This window comes from Homo sapiens, chromosome 1 (assembly GCF_000001405.40).
Source record: "Homo sapiens chromosome 1, GRCh38.p14 Primary Assembly".
In the NCBI taxonomy this organism is placed as follows: domain Eukaryota; kingdom Metazoa; phylum Chordata; class Mammalia; order Primates; family Hominidae; genus Homo; species Homo sapiens.
This window is the reverse complement of record NC_000001.11, coordinates 220,571,394-220,590,216: the sequence shown is the minus strand read 5'-3', so window position 1 is coordinate 220,590,216 and position 18,823 is coordinate 220,571,394. Positions and strand designations below refer to the sequence as shown.

At 36.5% G+C, this 18,823-nt stretch overlaps 1 protein-coding gene and 1 pseudogene across 12 annotated transcripts in view; one reads left to right on the top strand and one right to left on the bottom strand.

The window, feature by feature from the left end:
• The window catches only part of MARK1 (microtubule affinity regulating kinase 1), a 136,326-nt gene that overhangs the window by 74,245 nt on the left and 43,258 nt on the right, over positions 1–18,823 (bottom strand). For 8 of the 12 annotated variants that reach the window (NM_001286124.2, XM_005273134.6, NM_018650.5 and 5 more), the window contains exons 2-3: positions 10,660–10,863; positions 9,099–9,152 (exon numbers count right to left, since the gene is read on the bottom strand). In NM_001286124.2, coding sequence (NP_001273053.1) covers positions 9,099–9,152; positions 10,660–10,863 — 258 coding nt within the window. Of the gene's footprint in view, positions 1–7,318; positions 9,153–10,659; positions 10,864–13,480; positions 13,572–18,823 lie in introns of those variants that run through there. The other 4 variants (XM_017001305.3, XM_006711326.5, NM_001286129.2 and 1 more) reach the window with 4 other exon arrangements.
• Positions 18,182–18,478, top strand: RN7SL464P (RNA, 7SL, cytoplasmic 464, pseudogene; annotated as a pseudogene).

Here is an 18,823-nt window from a genome sequence, read left to right as displayed (position 1 = left end):
AAGATATCTCTTCCTCTCCAAGACTCCCCTAAACCCCTGCCTAACTCTTTATTTTCCAGCTGGCTGCATGAAAGAAAGAGACCGAAGCTAATGGCAGAGTTTTCTGCATGAGCTGCATGAGGCAAAAGGAAGCAGGGAGAGGGAGAGGAAGAGCCACATATACATATGTGATCTTTTAACCCAGAGCAGATCCTCATCAGCAAGGTGCCAATCTTCACACTTCTTTGGGTCAGTGGAGAGAGCTGAGTAGGCATTTAGACTATGAAAAGAAGTTTACTTTGAAACAGAGTTATTCTTTAAAAAGTTAATTATTGCATGTGTCATACACTCCAGGTACAAGTATAAAAAATAGAGGTAATTTTAAGAACAGCAGTGCCATGCTACTATTTGAGTTTCTGATGTTAATTTTCAGTTCTTTTTCTTTCTCATTTTCAAACTGTGATGTCACACAATGTTGCTAGCAAATGTAAATTTAGTAAAAGAGCTCTGAATTTACTATTCCCCTTCAAATTTACTGTTTCAGGTTTGCTGTAGGCTGGAAATTAAGGCCAGAGTTTGCTAGACTTGTGTGTTAAATTAGGAAAATAAGCCAGGAGTGAAGGCCTGAGATATGTCTTCTATATCACAGCTATTCTAGTTGTTCAGAGGTCTTTGTTTCCTTCTTGGTTCTTGGCTTTGTTCCAGATAACTAAAGTAGTAAACAATCTTCAATTCTTTGGAGATATTTACTTTTCAATTGGGTCTTTCCTGGCTAGAGCTTAGGTCAGGGTTAGCCAAACTCCATTAGTGTCAATCAATATTTCCCTCAATTATGTGCATTTTCCTTTTCTCTTCTCAACTGCTCTTTGTTCCTTCCTATCTCTTCCATTCCTCTGCTAGCACTCTTTTTGTGATGATGAAAAAGTCTGTCATTTTTAGAACTAGCCAACTGGACATGGCTTAGACAATCGTCATTCTAGTTACACCCAAAGTGTCATAGTCAGGGGCCAAATGCACATGGTTTTCTCTCCATCAGACCTGCTCACCAGTCTGACGAAGTTGCCCTTGGTCTCATCAATGTCACAGGACTTCGCCATCGCTTGCTTGATCTTGAGGCAGAAGGAGCACATTGTGGTCATTGGGAGCTTGACAAAGGCAGTGGTTCAGCTTGTTCCTCCTGAGAGAGTTCTTTCAGGCTGTCTTCAGAGTCACAGTAAACTGGGCTAGTAGAAGGCTGGCATACAGTTCTTGTGCCTTACAACATAGCCTTCTTCACCTTTCAAGGATTTTGCTCTGATTTGGGTTTCAGGAGGGATAGGAACCCTTCTTTGTCTTCACTGCAATCTTTATAAAACTTCTGTCTGTATATTTGACAGTTTACTGGCCTATTAATATGAAGTGTGGGTGTGGTTTTACCCTGAAGGTGACATGCAGTTCCAAGAGACTGCTAGGTCCTTGTCTAGACTATCTCATAAGTGCCATTTATTGAGGGATTATGTATATATATATTTTATCTATGTTAACAGAATCCTACAGATTAAACTTTCAGCTTTTTAAATTCTAGGATCATCATGTCATTTCCTTTTTAGCTTTTAGACATCTCATTGGGATGTCAAGTATTTTGTAAAATTATTGCTAGCAGCACTATAACAATTTAAGCTAACTTCTTAAGGTCTTCCTATGAAATCGTAGCACAGAAAGAGATCTGAATATAATTAAATGAATATATATTAGATGATTTATAACTACAACAGTAAAATAATTATTCAGTATTTCTTTATAAACTTGATAACTTGCAGCCAATTATTCATTGCAAAGTAATAGAAGGAAATATTCTATAAATGATAGCCTGTGTCAGTTTCCCAAAGTTTTGTCTTCACATAGGTAGATTATAAGATTCTTATAAGAAGATTATAAGTCTTATAATTTCTTATGAACTAGTACCAATTTCACATTACTTGAATCTCTCCTAAGATCCTGCACAGCTTTGGGTATAAGTTGGTGCTCAGTAAAAGTAATTGTTGGAGATATGAAGTTAAATAATTTCAGAAAGAAGATATTAAACTTAAAAGCAGCCTAAATTTGAAAAGATGGCCAATCTCATTAGAAATCATGGAAATTAAAACTAAAACTAGATACAACTTCACACCCATAAGGTTGGCAAAAATTTTAAAACATGGTAATATAAAGTGTTGGCAAGAATGTGGAGCAACAGTAAATCTCATACAGTGTTGGCTTAAGTAAAAATCGGTACAACTACACTGGAGAGCAATTTGACATTATCTAGTAAAGTTGAGGCTATGCATGCCCTTCAACCCAGCAATTCTACTTGAAGAGAGACATCCCTCTATACATCTTCTCAAAAAGATATACACAATAATGGTCATTCATTATCTGTATAGTAAAAACAAATAGTTAACTAGAAAAACAAAATAAAATACATAGAACAATAAAATCCACTAACAGGAAAATAAATAGATATAGTATATTAAGGAGAAAATGGATAAACTATGCATGGCATATTCATACAATGGGATCTAACAATAGCAATAAAAAATAAATGAACAAGGCTGGGCACGGTGGCTCATGCCTGTAATCCCAGCACTTTGGGAGGCTGAGGCAGGTGGATCACCTGAGGTCAGGAGTTCAAGACCAGCCTGGCCAACATGGTGAAACCCTGTCTCTACTAAAAATACAAAAAATTAGCTGGGCTTGGTGGCGGGCACCTGTAATCCCAGCTACTTGGGAGGCTAAGGCAGGAGAATCACCTGAACCCAGGAAGTGGAGGTTGCAGTGAGCAGAGATCACGCCATTGCACTCCAGTCTGGGCAACAAGAGTGAAACTCCGTCCAAAAAAAGAAAGAAAGAAAGACAGAGAGAGAGACAGAGAGAGAGAGAGAGAGAGAGAAAGAAAGAGAGAGAGAGGGAGGGAGGGAGGAAGGAAGGAAGGAAGGAAGGAAAGAAGGAAGGAAGGAAGGAAAGGAGAGACTATATAGTTAGCATGAATAAACTATAAGACAATGTTAAATGAAAAAATCTGATTACAGAAAGATAGGAAATTTTAAAATAACTAATATACTGTATTTTAAGTACAATCATATGTAAAAAAAAGTTTTTAAAAATTTAAGTGGGAATAAGAAAGATCAAATTCAGAATAGTGGTTATTTCTAGGTAGGAAAGACAAGACTGGAACCAAGAAATGACACATGGGTCTTCAATTATAGCTGTGATGTTTTATTTCTTTAAAAACAAGATTAGAACAAAACATTTTAGTGCAATAAATAAATATCATGAGAAAGCAACTTTTTTAAAATGGGAAAGACATTTTGAAGTCCCCATCCAAAAATTAAAAATAGACTAGTTTATTATATCAACAAACTGCCAAGCTTAGAAAAACATGAAAATACGATGCTTAAAATAACTAAATAAGAAAATAAGACTGTGACTTTTAAAACAGCCAGATAGTTAGTCTAAACTTCATAGGTGACTTAAAGACTCTAAGCCTCCTTCATTTCCCTCAAGAGAAAATTCTTCCACATTGATTTCAGTATATCTTAAGTAGCTTCTTGAGAACATAGAAATGGATGCTTTGCAGCTATTAAAAACCAAGCAATTAGGACAGAGGTTTTTGGAGTTAGAGGTAGAATACAGGCATTAAAACAAAAACATCAGAAACAAAAAGTGTCAACAAACAAATCAACAAACGACTACCAAAACCAAAACAAATAAAAATAAAGTGGTTATTTATAAATAATCCTTGGTTATGAGTGCTTGATTTTATGGAGGGTAAGTGGATTTAACACTGTTAGGGGAATAGGAAAGGTTTCCCTGAAGAAGTGACTCTAGGCTGAAATGGGAGGAATGAGTAAGGACTAATTAAGGGAAGAGGGGAGATAAGCCTTACCCAGAAGGTGGGAGAAAGTTGCAAAGGCCTGGTAACTGGAATAGAGTATGAATAGGAGCAGATGAAAATCACTAAAGCTGTAGGAGTCGGGGAAGAGGAGAGTGAAGAGAAGCTACGGCGAGTTCATGGTCCATGAGGTGGAAAAGGAAGTGAGGACCTTTATACCATGTTAATGAATTTGATTTTTGGACTACAAACAATAAAACGCCATCTGAAAGCTTAAACAAAGGGATAGCATATTCACAGACGTATTTTGCATCCTTGACAACTTTTAAACTCTATGTATTACATTTTAAACTCTCTCTCTCTGCGCACGCGCGCGTGTGTGTGTGTGTGTGTGTGTGTGTGTATACGTATGTAAAGTGGATGCAGTTGGAAGGCTACAAGAAGATAACAGTGACTTTGTCTAAACTGGTCATGATAGAGAAAGATAAAAGCAGACATTTTCAAAAGAGATACAAGAAATAAAATCAGCAAGAAAATTCCCAAGTCACAATCATAGATTGACTGGGAAAATGAATAAGCATTAGGTAATGTTTCAGGTAATTCTCAAGACATTCAGAGTGATTACTGAATCTAACCTTAAAGAGATATTTCTCCCCGAAGATTATGTATGGCTGTGAAATTCTAGGTTGTTGAGCTTACTAAACTCAAAACGTGAAAGACTGGAAGTTTTAATTTGAGGGATATTAGCAAATAGATTTTTGACATACTCTTTGGATATGCTTGCTCTGGAAGATATTTTTCATATTTGGATGCACATCTGTATGTTAAAAATGCCCAATTATATGTCATTGAGCCCTTTCCCCAGTAATTAAAGAGGGCTAACAAGGTTTAGAAAAGTCAGATTTTTGGTCACTAAACTGCACAGTTTGTTTTTCTCAGCAAATCTGATGATCACATCCTCAACATTTAAACTGTTGATATTTTAGCCAGATATTAATATTATTGGTATCACCTTTAAAACACTTGTTTAAACACCTTTCCCTCAAAATCCTCATATTTCAGTGTGAAAAGTATACTTCCCACCAATTCTTCCTATGATTTTATGTTATACTCTGTTTTCAGTACTTTGTCCAAAACCAAATCAAAATTAAAAGCATTTTGCTGACCACTAATTTCATGGAGAGTGAAACAGTGGGTAACTGGCTATTAGGCATAATCTTATTTATTCACATGGCAGAATTATTCCTTGCAGAATATCCCCACCTTTAACCCTCAAAAAAGCTCTAGGGGTATTTCATCATTATTGGTTAAAAGATAACTTATGCAGTCTACATATCATTTCACAAAATAATAATTCTCTTATCACTTATGTTTTTGTTGGCCCACGTAAGAACTGGCCAAATTGTTCCTTCAAATGATCCACACATGTGACAAGAACTGTATGAAAGAAGTACTCAGCACATAAGTGGTTTTGTTCAGCTATAGAGTGAAATATGCTATATAGCATGTATATGTGAGAGTAGCTGATATTTCAATATATGTCCAATAGTGACATTTGTTAAGGAATATTTCCAAAGAGCTTCTTGTGCTCTCTCCTTGATAAAAATATTTGTCAATAATTTTGTGATTGGTTTTGCAAGTTTGGTTTCTGATAATTTGCTAAAATATATTGAATTCTGAATATTGCTCCCATGGTTCTGTTCTCCTCTCTACCTTTAGTTACCAAATTCTTCAACATGACAAAGATTATTTTGCAGATAATCTGGAAAACTTAATTAGCTTACCAGAGAGGTCTCTGGGCTTTATTTAAAAACTCACAAAAGTTTAATGGCTTAGGCCACCATTTGACAACATTTTATATAACAGGTAACACACCAGACACGAGCGGTAACTTGATTATTCATTTAATAAAGTCTAATTTTCAGAATTCAATAATTTAAATGTTTTACCCTTTTCCTGTTTGTGTAAAATCACTGTCCTAGCAAAGCGATTCACATTCTATAAAACTTTAGCGCAGCAGTCATCTATTATATAATGACATAATTCTGAGTTGTACTAAGTCTTGTTTTTATTTTCATTACAGATTTTACTACTTAGGAAATCACTTCTGAACCACTTAGCCACTTTTGTGAATATGCAACATAATATAACACAGTAAAACAATAGAAAATGTAAATTAATAAGTAATACACAGAAGATACAAAAATGTTAGCAGAGATAAACTGCACTCTGGTGACTGTAAGCTGAGACAGACTGACACAAACTTTGTCATCTTTGCATCAATTGATGTGTCCAAGTTTCAAAACTAGTGATATCTCTGAGAAAATGATCTTACATTTCAAATTTATGAACTATGAAAAATATTATTTTATTGTCTTGCTTTTCCTTCAACATTAGTAGGCTGCTTAAAAGAACCCCAGGAGGCAGGGTGCAGTGGCTCACACCTGTAATCCCAACACTTTGGGAGGCCGAGGTGGGTATATCACGAGGTCAGGAGATCGAGACCATCCTGGCCAACATGGTGAATCCTCGTCTCTACTAAAAATACAAAAAAAAAAAAAAAAAAAAAAAAATTAGCCAGGCATGGTGCATGCACCTGTAGTCCCATCTACTCAGGAGGCTGAGTCAGGAGAATCGCTTGAGCCTGGGAGGTGGAGGTTGCAGTGAGCTCAGATCGCGCCACTGCACTCCAGCCTGGGCAACAGAGCAAGACTCTGTCTCAAAAAAAAAAAAAGAACCCAGGAATCACTAGTATGGTTCATGGACCCTCTTCTAAAATACATTATTCTATGAGGTAGAACTAATGCTTTGAAGAGGAAGAACTAAAAATAGCATCTACCTAAAATACTTTTTAACTATGAAAACTCATTGAATTGGATTCCATTAATTCAAAATATGTAATACAAATAATATGAGCATATTATGGGAACAATATTGAAGCCAAAGATACTTAACAATTCCAAAAACCAAACACGTTTAAGAACTTTGTATTTTGGCAGTATTAAGCAGTTGGTGTATCAACTTTAGATTCTTTTATCTATCATTGATGTTTGCAAAGGAAGGCAGTAATTCCTATAAATATCTGATACACAGAAGAGGATAAAGGAGAGGGATCAGCTTAAATTCAGATCAAACCAGAACAAATTTACCCAAACACTTCTAGAAGTGAGATTACAATGAATCCTTATTTCATATAAATGTGCGATAATTACCTGCCTTTTATGAGTATACCTAAGACATGGAAGCAAATTTTACTGTCTTTTTCAATGCTAGGGAAAAATGGATTGTTTCACATTCCATTACTTTTTAAGTATGACTGACTGGGAGATGCTACTGCCTAAATGGGAAAGGTCAAATGCTGAATGTTCTAAACACATGAGAATTAATGAAGACTTGATCTGCTTTTCCTTCAGAACTTCTAAAAGAAAGCAAATCTATCAACATACATGTAAATCACTCAAAAAACAATCACACACACAGTGTACTGGCTACATTTAGTGAGTCTTCATCTTTATTTTCACGGGTTAAAGAAAACAAAATTGTATCATTTTTATATGCCTATTTGGAAAAGCAATACTTTATCAACAAGATTAGTAGATTTTATGACAGAAATTACTTATCATCATCAAGTACACGTTTTAGTTATTCAGATAAAGAAAGCAACATTCAGTTTCATGTTCACATGTTTCAATAAGTACAACTTTGTTTATACAACCTTGGGAAAGACAGAGTAGGAGTCGCATTGCTGTGTATTCCAGCTAGCACAACAGGCCTGAGTAGTTCTAGATGCCACTTAAAAATCACTCAATTTGCCAGAGTAACCCACAACTAAATCCAGGAAAAGTAGAAAAGCTATGTGGGCCATGGACAGGGACACTGTGTACAATTACCCAGTTTGTGCATTTTAAGTGGGTTCCCAGCACAGGGGTAGGCAAAGATATGTCCTACTGTGGTTCCAGCCCAGTAAAAAACAGCATCTTTGCATAGTTAATTGGTCCAGGTAGGATGTCTTTTTCTCACTTACACAAAGGCATCATGGTTAGCAAAAAGACTGGTGCTAAAAGAAGAGACTTTCTCCAAGAAGAGACCCATAATACATTATCTCACATTCACAGAAAAAGAAGAACCCAGCAAAGTTTTCATGTTCTTACTGGGCAGAAATATCAGTGTTATGAAAAGTTATACTGGTTGTCAAATTTTCAAAAGAATCTCCGATAAGTACAAAGGCAGAGCTCTAAGAAGAAATCTGGGACTGAGCCAAATGAGAAGAAAGTTTGAATATCACAAATCTAAATTTTTAATCTAATGCTATAATCATAGCAGATGTAAGCACACATACTAACAATTTCTTATAAGATTCTTTCTGTTTTAGGAATTCAAAGTCATTTGTATTAAAATTACATATGTGACAATGGTCCCATTATATTCTAATAAAAGTCACAATGTATATTCTCTCACTCTATACAAACCTATCACATACAGCATAAATGTTAAAACATTTGCTTCATTTTTAAAGTACTAAAATGTGCATCTGAGAAAATTTTCCCATTTAAGTAATTAATGAAGTAACGTGAAACAGCTTTGGTTTGCTAAGGCAATCCCCTTCCTAACTGCTTTCTTTTCTCTCTATGTTGTTTCATATTTTCAATCCTTTAAAGAAACATTCTTATTTTGTACTGTGAGTTATCTGAAAGACTAGTAGTTCTTGTGGAAGAAGGAAGAAGAGCAAATGAAGCAATAAAAGGAAACTCACCTATGAACAATATTAACTTCTAACTAGATTTTTAATTAAGAAGCTTATCAGCAAGGTCTCTGGACTTTATCTGAAAACTCACAAAAGTTTAAATGGCTTAGGTCACCACCATTTGTCATTTTATATAACAGCTAAGGCACCAGATATTATCAGTAAATGGATTATTCATTTAATATAAGTCTAATTTTCAGAGGTCAATTCTGAATACTTGAAAATACTTCAAAATATTTGAATATTTCAAATCCTGAATACTTCAAAATGTATGACACAAGGTTTTATTCTATTGAATAGAAGAGATACATTTCTTTCATATACTACATGTATTTAAGTAGTAGATAGTTTTCAAGCAACTACTTGGTAAGTCATAAACATTACATTTTATATTATGTCTTTTCTTCTTATATTGATGAAATGTAGAATTGTACCTAATAGAAAATTTAGAATGACTGATTTTACAGAACATCACATATTAATGATAAACTCACATTTTAATTACTTATTAAATTAATTAAATACCTTTTGTAGACTGGTAGGATTTAGCTGAGTTTTGTCTATTATTTTCACAGCAACCTAAAAAAGAAGAATCATTAAACTCTATTTGAAAAATGCATATTTTAATGAATAAAACTTTCAAAAAATCCAATTTCTGTTTCATTCCTAACTAGATATAATTTAGCTCTTTTTAGGTGTTCACATAATCAGATAGTAACATTTTGATAATTTGGCAGTCTTAGAATATACTCCATTGACCCAAGTCTTTAATCTTTTGATCCTGAGCCAATGAAATGAAAGCTTTGTTATTTCTTCTAAGTTTCCTTCTTTAAAGTAAAAATCATCCTGTATCTTAACCTTTTACTCACGATCTTGATAAGCAACAATTATAGGGGGAAGTGGCTTGTGAACTTGCAGTAAGTTAAATATTATGTGAATAAAACAATTATGTTGGTAGAGAGATTGGATATCCAAGCTTACTTAGAGCAAACTGACAAAATGGACTTGAATATCTAAGGCTCTGCCCAGTATTCCCTGCCTCTGAATGGCTCCTGGGGTCAGAATAGACAGAAGGAACCAAATTCAATGGGAAACGACAATAATATTATACATAGAGCAAAGTGAAAATTTATTAAAAATATTTTCTTTGAGTTTTTGTTTTTTTTTTGAGACAGGATCTCACTCTGTTGCTGAGGCTGGAGTGCAGTGGTGCTACCACAGTTCACTGCAGCCTTGACCTCCCGGGCTCAAGTAATCCTCACCTCAAGCTCCCAAGTAGCTACAGTTGCACACCACCAAGCCCAGCTAATTTCTGTATTTTTTGTAGAGCTGGGGTTTTGCCATGTTGCCCAGGCTGGTCTTGAACTCCTGGCCTCAAGCAATTATGCCCACTTCAGCCTCCCAAGGTGCTGAGATTGCAGGCATGAGCCACTGCATTGGGCCTGATTGAGATTTTTTTTTATAATGTCCTAATCAGATCTAGTAAACGTTATATAATACAAAATGTTACACATTTATTCAAATAAAGTCTGTAACCCTAGCATACAGGTATATATACACAACGTACATATGTGCAAATATATAAATTCTTACTATATAAATACATATAACTTAAAACACACGAGATTTTAGAAATCCAATTATCTTATTACCTGAGAAAACCACCCATATAGAAGTACTTGTTCAATGTAGTCTCTAAACAGATACAAATTAGCAGGTGACTTTCTACATATTTATACCTAACTTATATCAAGCAGCAAGAACTTTTGTTCCTGAGGGCTGGGCAGCAATGGCAATCAGAAATGTTCACAGAAATCATATAACGAAAGTCAGAATCTGAGGAAAGCTCATCTGCAGCACACCTGATTTATGAGATGCTAATATATAGGAATGATTCTTTTCTAAATATTAAAAGGTCAACTTTTATGCCGTGATAAACCTCTGCCTACTAATGTTCCATTCACACACACCCCAGTGTTAATCATATTGAAACTGTCATTTTACTCCCAAACATGGGCTATAAGGAAGCTTTAACAAGACTCCAGAGAGGTCCAGGCAGATATTAAAAGGCATTGTGCAAACTTACCTCTCTACCAGTTAGAACGTGTCTTGCCAATTTGACTTTGGCAAAATTTCCCTTCCCTATTGTTTTTTGTAAACGGTAATTTCCAATGTGAGGCTGTTCATCTGTTGCTGACGTAATGGAGTTTCTACACCGGGGGATGTTCTGTCTGCTACTCGACTTGGTAGGCTGGATGTGTGGTTCAGTATATCCATCCACAGATGTATGCTAAGAAAAAGTTTACAAGATTTCATTGTTAATTAAATTATATTATAAAAGGACAAGTAAAAAGAGTACAAATAATTATTATTACCAATTCTTCAATAAAAACATATTGCACTACATCCTTTTAAAGTTTGAGCATTCTATTTATAATTTCTTCTGGACTTCAGCTCCCTTTACCAGGTAGAGTATAATTGTTTAAAATGAAATATTCAGGCCAAGCATGGTGGTGGCTCATGCCTGTAATCCCAGCACTTAAGGAGGCCAAGGCAGGCGGTTCACTTGAGGTCAGGAGTTCATGACCAGCCTCGCCAAAACAGTGAAACCCCATCTCTACAAAAACACAAAAATTAGCCGGTTGTGGTGGCACGTGCCTGTAATCCCAGCTACTCAGGAGGCTGAGGGAGGAGAATCGCTTGAACCTGGGAGGCGGAAGTTGCAGTGAGCCAAGATCATGTCAGTGCACTCCAGCCTGGGTGACAGAGCGGGACTCCATCTCAAAAAAATAAAATAAAGTGAAATATTCTACATGGCTTTAGGGATATGCTTTCAATTTAAAATTGTAAATATACAGCCAGAAGCCTCACAAACCATTATTCCTATAAAGGTGTTATCGCTTTAGGTTGTGATGACAGTATAGCTCAGGGCTGCTTCATTAAAAAGGCAGAATGTCTTTATTGCCAAGACAACCTCATGGGTATAAATCTTTTTCTCAAAACTAGCCCAGCCATTTGTCATGTTCTTGCTTCCATTTTCTGGGCATATAACTCAAAGAACTGACCAATCAGCAGCCTGCCTCAAGTATACCTCTAATTCATTTCTGCCCAACCCCCTCACCCAGTTTATCATGTCCAAGTGAAAGCTATCTATAGTCCTGCCCAGGTCCATAATCTATCCATTGCATCAGTGCTGTTCTGGAGGCAAAGATGTCACTTTGTCTCATGGTCTCACGCTAACCTACAATTGCAATGGAGAGCTGATCCTGTTCACCTATGGACTCAACACCTAAATTCCCAGGTCAAGCTGCCTAACCAGCTCTGTTTCACTAGCTGTGATTGTTCCTGCTCTTGTCTAGCTTTGTCTGCATTTTGACATACATAAAATTTCTAGCAGTTTTTGTGAAAATGTTGAATCACACATAATAAACACAACATCTTTCTCTGGCTTCTTAAAAAATTGCTGAAGAAGAGTAAAACAAAATAACAAAGGAAAGGATATATTTTGTTTGCAAAATGACTAATGCAGAGTTATATTGCCCCACCTGTAAAAGCAACAGCTTCCTAAAGAATTTTGATCTTAAAGGCAACATTAAAGAGGAATCCATTTACCAATCTCACGCAAAGCATGATTCAAAGTCATTTTTCTATTTGTTACTACTTTTTGTTTTATTTTATGATAATTTTTTAAAACTCAGCTCAGGATTAAGGGTTTTTGCTGGGTCTTATACACATCTGCAACCTCTGGCCTCATTCTGTGTTGGATGCGCTTTGGGGTATTCTCGCCACAACCTGTACTTCCACGTATCACAGCATGCTTTCCATTGTGCTATCATTATACATTTACTCGTCTGTCTCCCACCACCCTATTATAAACAATTTTAGGGCACAGATGTTTTCTTTTCATCTTTATGTACTCAGCACATTACAGGCTGCCAGATACACAGGAAGGATTCAATAAAGCAATAGTTTTCACAGTGTTATCCCTGGTCCAGCACCATCAGAATCATCTGAGAACTTGTTCAAAATGCAAATTCTCTGGTCTTATTCCAGACCTACTGAATATGAAACTCTGGGGGTAGGGTCCAGCACTCTGTATTTCAACAAGTTTTCCAGGTGATTCTGATGCATGCCAACATTTGAGAACTGCAATGAAAATAATGTAAGAAGGAGTAAAATACAAAGTTATTCACTGGCTCTTGGAGACTCTTCTATTACCTGGGTAGAAACAAGAGATTTTAATTATAGTACTTAATTTCTAAGAGTTAACAGACTGCCATGATATTTCCTACAACTAGTACTTCTCTACCTGAACTTGTTCTGCAGGGAATGCTGACTTCTCCAGCCTTCAAGATGTATCTTTTTTTTTTTCTTCCTGAGACAGGGTCTTGATCTGTCACCCAGGCTGGAGTGCAGTGGCACGATCACTGCTCACTGCAGCCTCAAGTGATCTTCCCACTTCAGCCTCTTGAGTAGCTGGGACTACAAGTGTGCACTGCTGCCCCTGGCTACTTTTTTAACTGTTTTTTTGTTTTGTTTTGTTTTGTTTGTAGAGATGGAGTCTCATCATGTTGGCCAGGCTGTTCTCAAACTCCTGGGCTCAAGCAATCCTCCCACCTCAGCCTCCCAAAGTGCTGAGATATAGGCATAAGCCACCGCATCTGGCCATTCATCTTTCAAGATTTAATATGAGTATCTCCTCCACACAGCTTTCTATGTCTTTTCACAGAGATGATTATTCCTCTTTTCTGTTGCTACCTATATACCCAATATATACTTCAACTATTAGAACTCTCACACCATCTTCTAAGTACTTGTCCATGGTCTGTGTTTACCGTTGACTTAAAGCTCCTAAAGCCCCATAACTTAATATAGTGTTAGGCACAAATAAGGCATTTGATACATACTAACTAAATTGAAGGGATTTAGGATCCTCATACTCCTGGTACCCTTATAGAATGACTTCTGAGGAGTAAGTCCATGCTGTCCAGATCTTTGCTGCATATAAAAGCAATACGCATTAAAATACTTGAGATGTAGCTCAGCTCCTAATGCTGGTTGTAGGCTATATATTAATACTATACCACATTTTGATGGACTGTATTATTAATCCCAAATTTTCACACCCTTTGCCATGTAACTTTTCCAGGACCCTCCCACTGAGGGTGGGGGCATACTTTCCCACTCTTTGGGTTTAGTCAAGTGATTTTTTTTTTTTTTTTGGCCAATAAAATGAGTTAGACATGATGGTATGCGAGTCCCAAGCTAGACTTCAAGAGGCCTTGTTGTGTCTCAACTTGCTGTCTGCCATCACCATGAGAAGGACTTATCCAGACTGACAGCAGGATGATGAGAAATACATGGAGCAGAGTCACTGCCAGTTAAGCCAAGATTTAATCAACTGATCCCCAGCTGACTCTGACTCATGAGAAATCATAAATGGTTCTTGGTTTAAGCCACTTAGGTTGGGATGATTTGTTACACGGCAATGTCAGTAGATACACAATGCTATCGTTATTTTAAAATTAAAAAGTAAACACAAGAGAAAAGGGAAAAACTTATGAACAATTGGAAGATTCTTATCAGACATGTTTACATTTTAGCAGAGTCTGAAAAGAAAGGATGAGGGAGGGAGGGAGAGAAGAAAAAAAAAGGAGCTATATACGGTCAATTCCCTAAGGAGAAACCCTTCATTGTAAGCTGTATGGGAGCAGAATCCTTGATTATTTTGCATCCCCATCACCAAGTATGGTGTAACACAGAGATCGACAAACGATTCTGGAGAAATAATACCCATGGGCCTATAGGCTGCAGTTGGCCAACCCTTGGTGTAACATGTCACATTTTGGGATACAGGTTTAAATTGTTCTCAATGATTTTTTAAAAAGATCTCCTAGCCCTCAACATTAAACATGATCATTTATACACAATACATTTATATGTCTTAAATAAAAAATCAGAATACACAGCATATATTTTATATTACATATATTATACATTCTGAATATATTATATATTCTGATTATAAGATATCCACCAAAACAAATATTTTCAAAAATTACATCTTTCCTTAGGATTGCTACAGCATCACTTAGGAGACAACCTTTCCTTGGAAGGACTCTTTGAAGTACAGTTTGGGATAGCTGATCTCACTTTCCTGATCAATAGCTTAATTCTCAAATAGAAAATGTGGCAAGAATATCAATTCAGCTCATGCTAGATTAAACAGTGAATTTAATTTGGAACTACCTCAATCCTAAGGCTGTTAAATAGAAGAAATTATGTTAGCTCAATTACAGCATGTCTATGAATTTTAAATTTCTACCTTTATCTGAAAACACAAGTTCCAATCCTGTCATTCTTTCTTCAAGTTTTCCACTTAATCCAGTAGACTGTGAATTCCTTTATTCTTTCTGCAGCAGTGGTAATGTGACCCTAAAGCTTGCCCTGAGTGTGCAGTGTAGTCAAAGTAAGCAGAGATAATGATTTCATTAGCTCTTCAGTGCTGCATCCCATGGAGCACCAGACTCAAATTCCTGAGTAATAAGAGAATTTTCCCCGCCTTTAATACTGACTGAAATGAAGTTCTTCTACTCACTGGCTATACATCCTTAGAAATATTTTTTAAAAATTGCAATGTTTTATGACAGTCACTAAATCTGCTTGGTGACCGAATATTCAAATACTCCTAAAAAGTCAGATAACATATTAGACCTGAAGGTAGGGCTGTCACAGCTCTGCTCTCAGGACTTTGGAATATGCTATTTTTGCATACCACAACCACCCTTTGGCCAAGTGATATTAGCACCAATACAGGTCATTGCAATTTAGAAACAATAACCAAACTTTCATTTCTCAAAGTCATTTTATTAAAGGAGTAGGGAAGTTCTGCTTCCAACAAAGAATAGTTTGTAACTAACTAAACCTATCAGCAGACAAAAATATAATCTGTAGACAAAATATTAAAAACAACTGTTTGAAGGCTCTGAAGAGCCATAAAAAAGCAGGCAAAGTCTTAAGGGAAGTTGATCATTGAATGAAGAAAAATTTCACAACATAGAATCTGGCTTGTTACAGTTTCGAGCTGGGGGCAAACTCTGGCCCACCTCACTCCATGTGACTTAAACTCAAGCAGACAGCAACAGTTTTCTCGGCTAAAAAGGAGTCTGAGGATAGGTTTGGGAGCTCACAAAATGGCTGGAAAGTGAGAGAGAAAACCTTGGGAAAAATGAAGTCATGGAGAAGAAAAATGAAATTTGTATATTAATTGCAGGTGCTTTGCTAAGTCCCAAACGATGTATAAGCAAGACAACCTCTAAGGAACACATTAGAACAAGGCAGTTAGAAGTGTAAGATAATAAAGTAGGTATTTGGCCTGTTGGCCACCACAACGCAGGCTGAATTTGAAGTTTGAGTCAAGCCAAATTAACTGTCTGCTAAAGCAAAAACCAACAGTTCAGAAGATAATTAAATTCAGAGTCTCCATAGAGTATCAATAAAAATGTCCAGTATGTAAATAAAACTTACTAGACACATGAAGGAACAGACAGATATGATTCACTGTCAAGAGAAATAATAGTCAACAGAAACAGACCCCAAGATGACCCAGAAGTTGGAATCAGCAGGCAAGAACTTTAAAGCAGATATTATAAATACATTTTTTAAAGTAAAGGAAAATATGGCCAGAAAGAACAAGTATATGGGAAATGTTAGCAGAAAAATGAAAACTATAATAAAGAGACAAATGGCAATTCTACAATATACTACATATACTACAATATATACTACATATATACTACAATATATACTACATATATACTACAATATATACTACATATATACTACATATACTACAATATACAATATACTACAATACTGCAACATTTAAAAAGAAAAATTCATTGGATAGGATTACAGTAGACTGCAAAGAAGAAAGGGTCAATGAACTTGAAGACAGATTAATAAAATATAGCCAATCTTAACAACTGGGACACAGGAAGACTGAATAAAAATAAAGCCTCGGCCGGGCACAGTGGCTCATGCCTGTAATCCCAGCACTTCGGGAGGCTGAGGTGGGTGGATCACGAGGTCAGGAGATCGAGACCATCCTGGCTAACACAGTGAAACCCCATCTCTACTAAAAATACAAAAAATTAGCCAGGCGTGGTGGCGGGTGCCTGTAGTCCCCGCTACTCAGGAGGCTAAGGCAGGAGAACAGTGTGAACCCAGGATGCGGAGCTTGCAGTGAGCCAAGATCATGCCACTGCACTCCAGCCTGGGCGACAAAGCGAGACTCCATCTCAAAAAAATAAATAAATAAATAAACAAAGCCTCTATGATCTGTGGTGGGTCAATATCACATAAACTGTCACATGTATAAATGGGGCCCAGAGAAGGAATAAAAGAAAATAGGGTAGAAAAAAGTACTTGAAGTAATAATGGCCATACAATTCCTCCAAACTGTAAATTCTAAGAAGGATAAATACCAAAACAAACAAACAAACAAACAAACAAATAAAAAAACCCAGTGTAGAAGATCACTGTCAAATTGCTGAAACCATGCATAGAGGAAAACAAAAACCTTAAAAGGAGTCAGGGAAAAATGACACATTCACACATAGGAATAACAATACAAATGGCAACTCACTTCTCATTAATCAACAATGGAAGTCAGATGACAACATTTTTAAAGTGCTATAGAAAAATCAAATGCAAGTCAAAATTCATTATCCAGTGAAAACATTCCTCAAAAAAGGCAAAAAAGACATTTTTAGATTAACAAAAACTGAAAGAATTTGTTGCCAACAGACATACACTATAAAAAATGCTAAAGAAATGAAAGTAACAATAGAGGGTAAAATGAATCTATATAAATGAATAAAGAGCTCTGGAACTAGAAAATATGTGGGTAAATACAAAACAGTACACATTTTTCCATCTCTTCATTTATTTAAAAGACATATGACTGTTCAAAGCAAAGCATAATACTGTACGTGGAACTTATAAGCAGAAGTAAGTATATGTGAAAACAAAACCACAATCAGAGATTTCAACATTACTCTCTCAATAGCTGAAAGAACAACTATACATGAAAAAACAACCACCAGGCGCGGTGGCTCACTCCTGTAATCCCAGCACTTCAGGAGGCTGAGGAGGGCAGATCACCTGAGGTCGGGAGTTCAAGACCAGCCTGACCAACATGGAGAAACCCCGTCTCTACTAAAAATACAAAAAATTAGCCAGGTGTGGTGGCACATGCCTGTAATCCCAGCTAATTGGGAGGCTAAGGCAGGAGAATTGCTTGAACCCGGGAAGCAGAGGTTGTGGTGAGCAGAGATCGCACCATTGTACTCCAGCCTGGGCAAAAAGACTGAAACTCTGTCTCCAAAAAGAAAAAAAAGGAAAAGAAAAAACAGTAAGGATACACAAAATCTGAACAACACTATCAAGTTATGGAAGCTTACAGATTTCTTAAAGCACATAGTTCTTAAACTCTAAGTCAAGAACACTTCTCTAGCTCCCTTAAGCTCTTTCCATAGATATTTTAGTTCTCTTTAGAGTGATAACTTGTCTTTTTATCAAAGGATAACTTAAAGAACAGCTACTTTGCTGGCTGCAGTGGTGTTTCCCTGTGGTCTCAGCTACTCAAGAGGCTGGTGGGAGGATCACTTGAGCCCAAGAGTTCTGGGCTGTAGTACACTATGTTGACCTGGTGTTTGCACTAAGTTCAGCATCAATATGGTGACCTCCTGGGAGTGGGGGACCATCAGGTTGCCTAAGGAGGGGTGAACCAGCCCTGGTCAGAAACAGAGCAGGTAAAAACACCCGTGCTGATCAACAGTGGGACTGCACCTGTGAAGAGCCACTGCATTCCAGCCTGGGCAACATAGTGAGACCCTGTCTCTAAAGAAATAAAAATAAATAAATAAAAAAGAACAGTTACATCTGTATAGGAACATGGCTGAAGATACTTTAATAATAATTAATACCTACTTCATAAGGATCCAAGCAATGAATCTGCCTGAGTTTAGTTGTCAGAAATATTTCTCTGAGCTGGTACGCTTCCTTTATTATGTTACTATACAATAATAATCTCTCCCTCTTTCCCCTGTTTTGGCATTTGAAGGTGAATTTTCATATTAAATAGTACGATGGTGGATGTTGTCAGTGACAGTACTTTTATGAGTGACAAAAATGTTTTAACAGCTGGAAAAGAATGCTTATGAAGCACAAAAGACCTGTGATTCTCC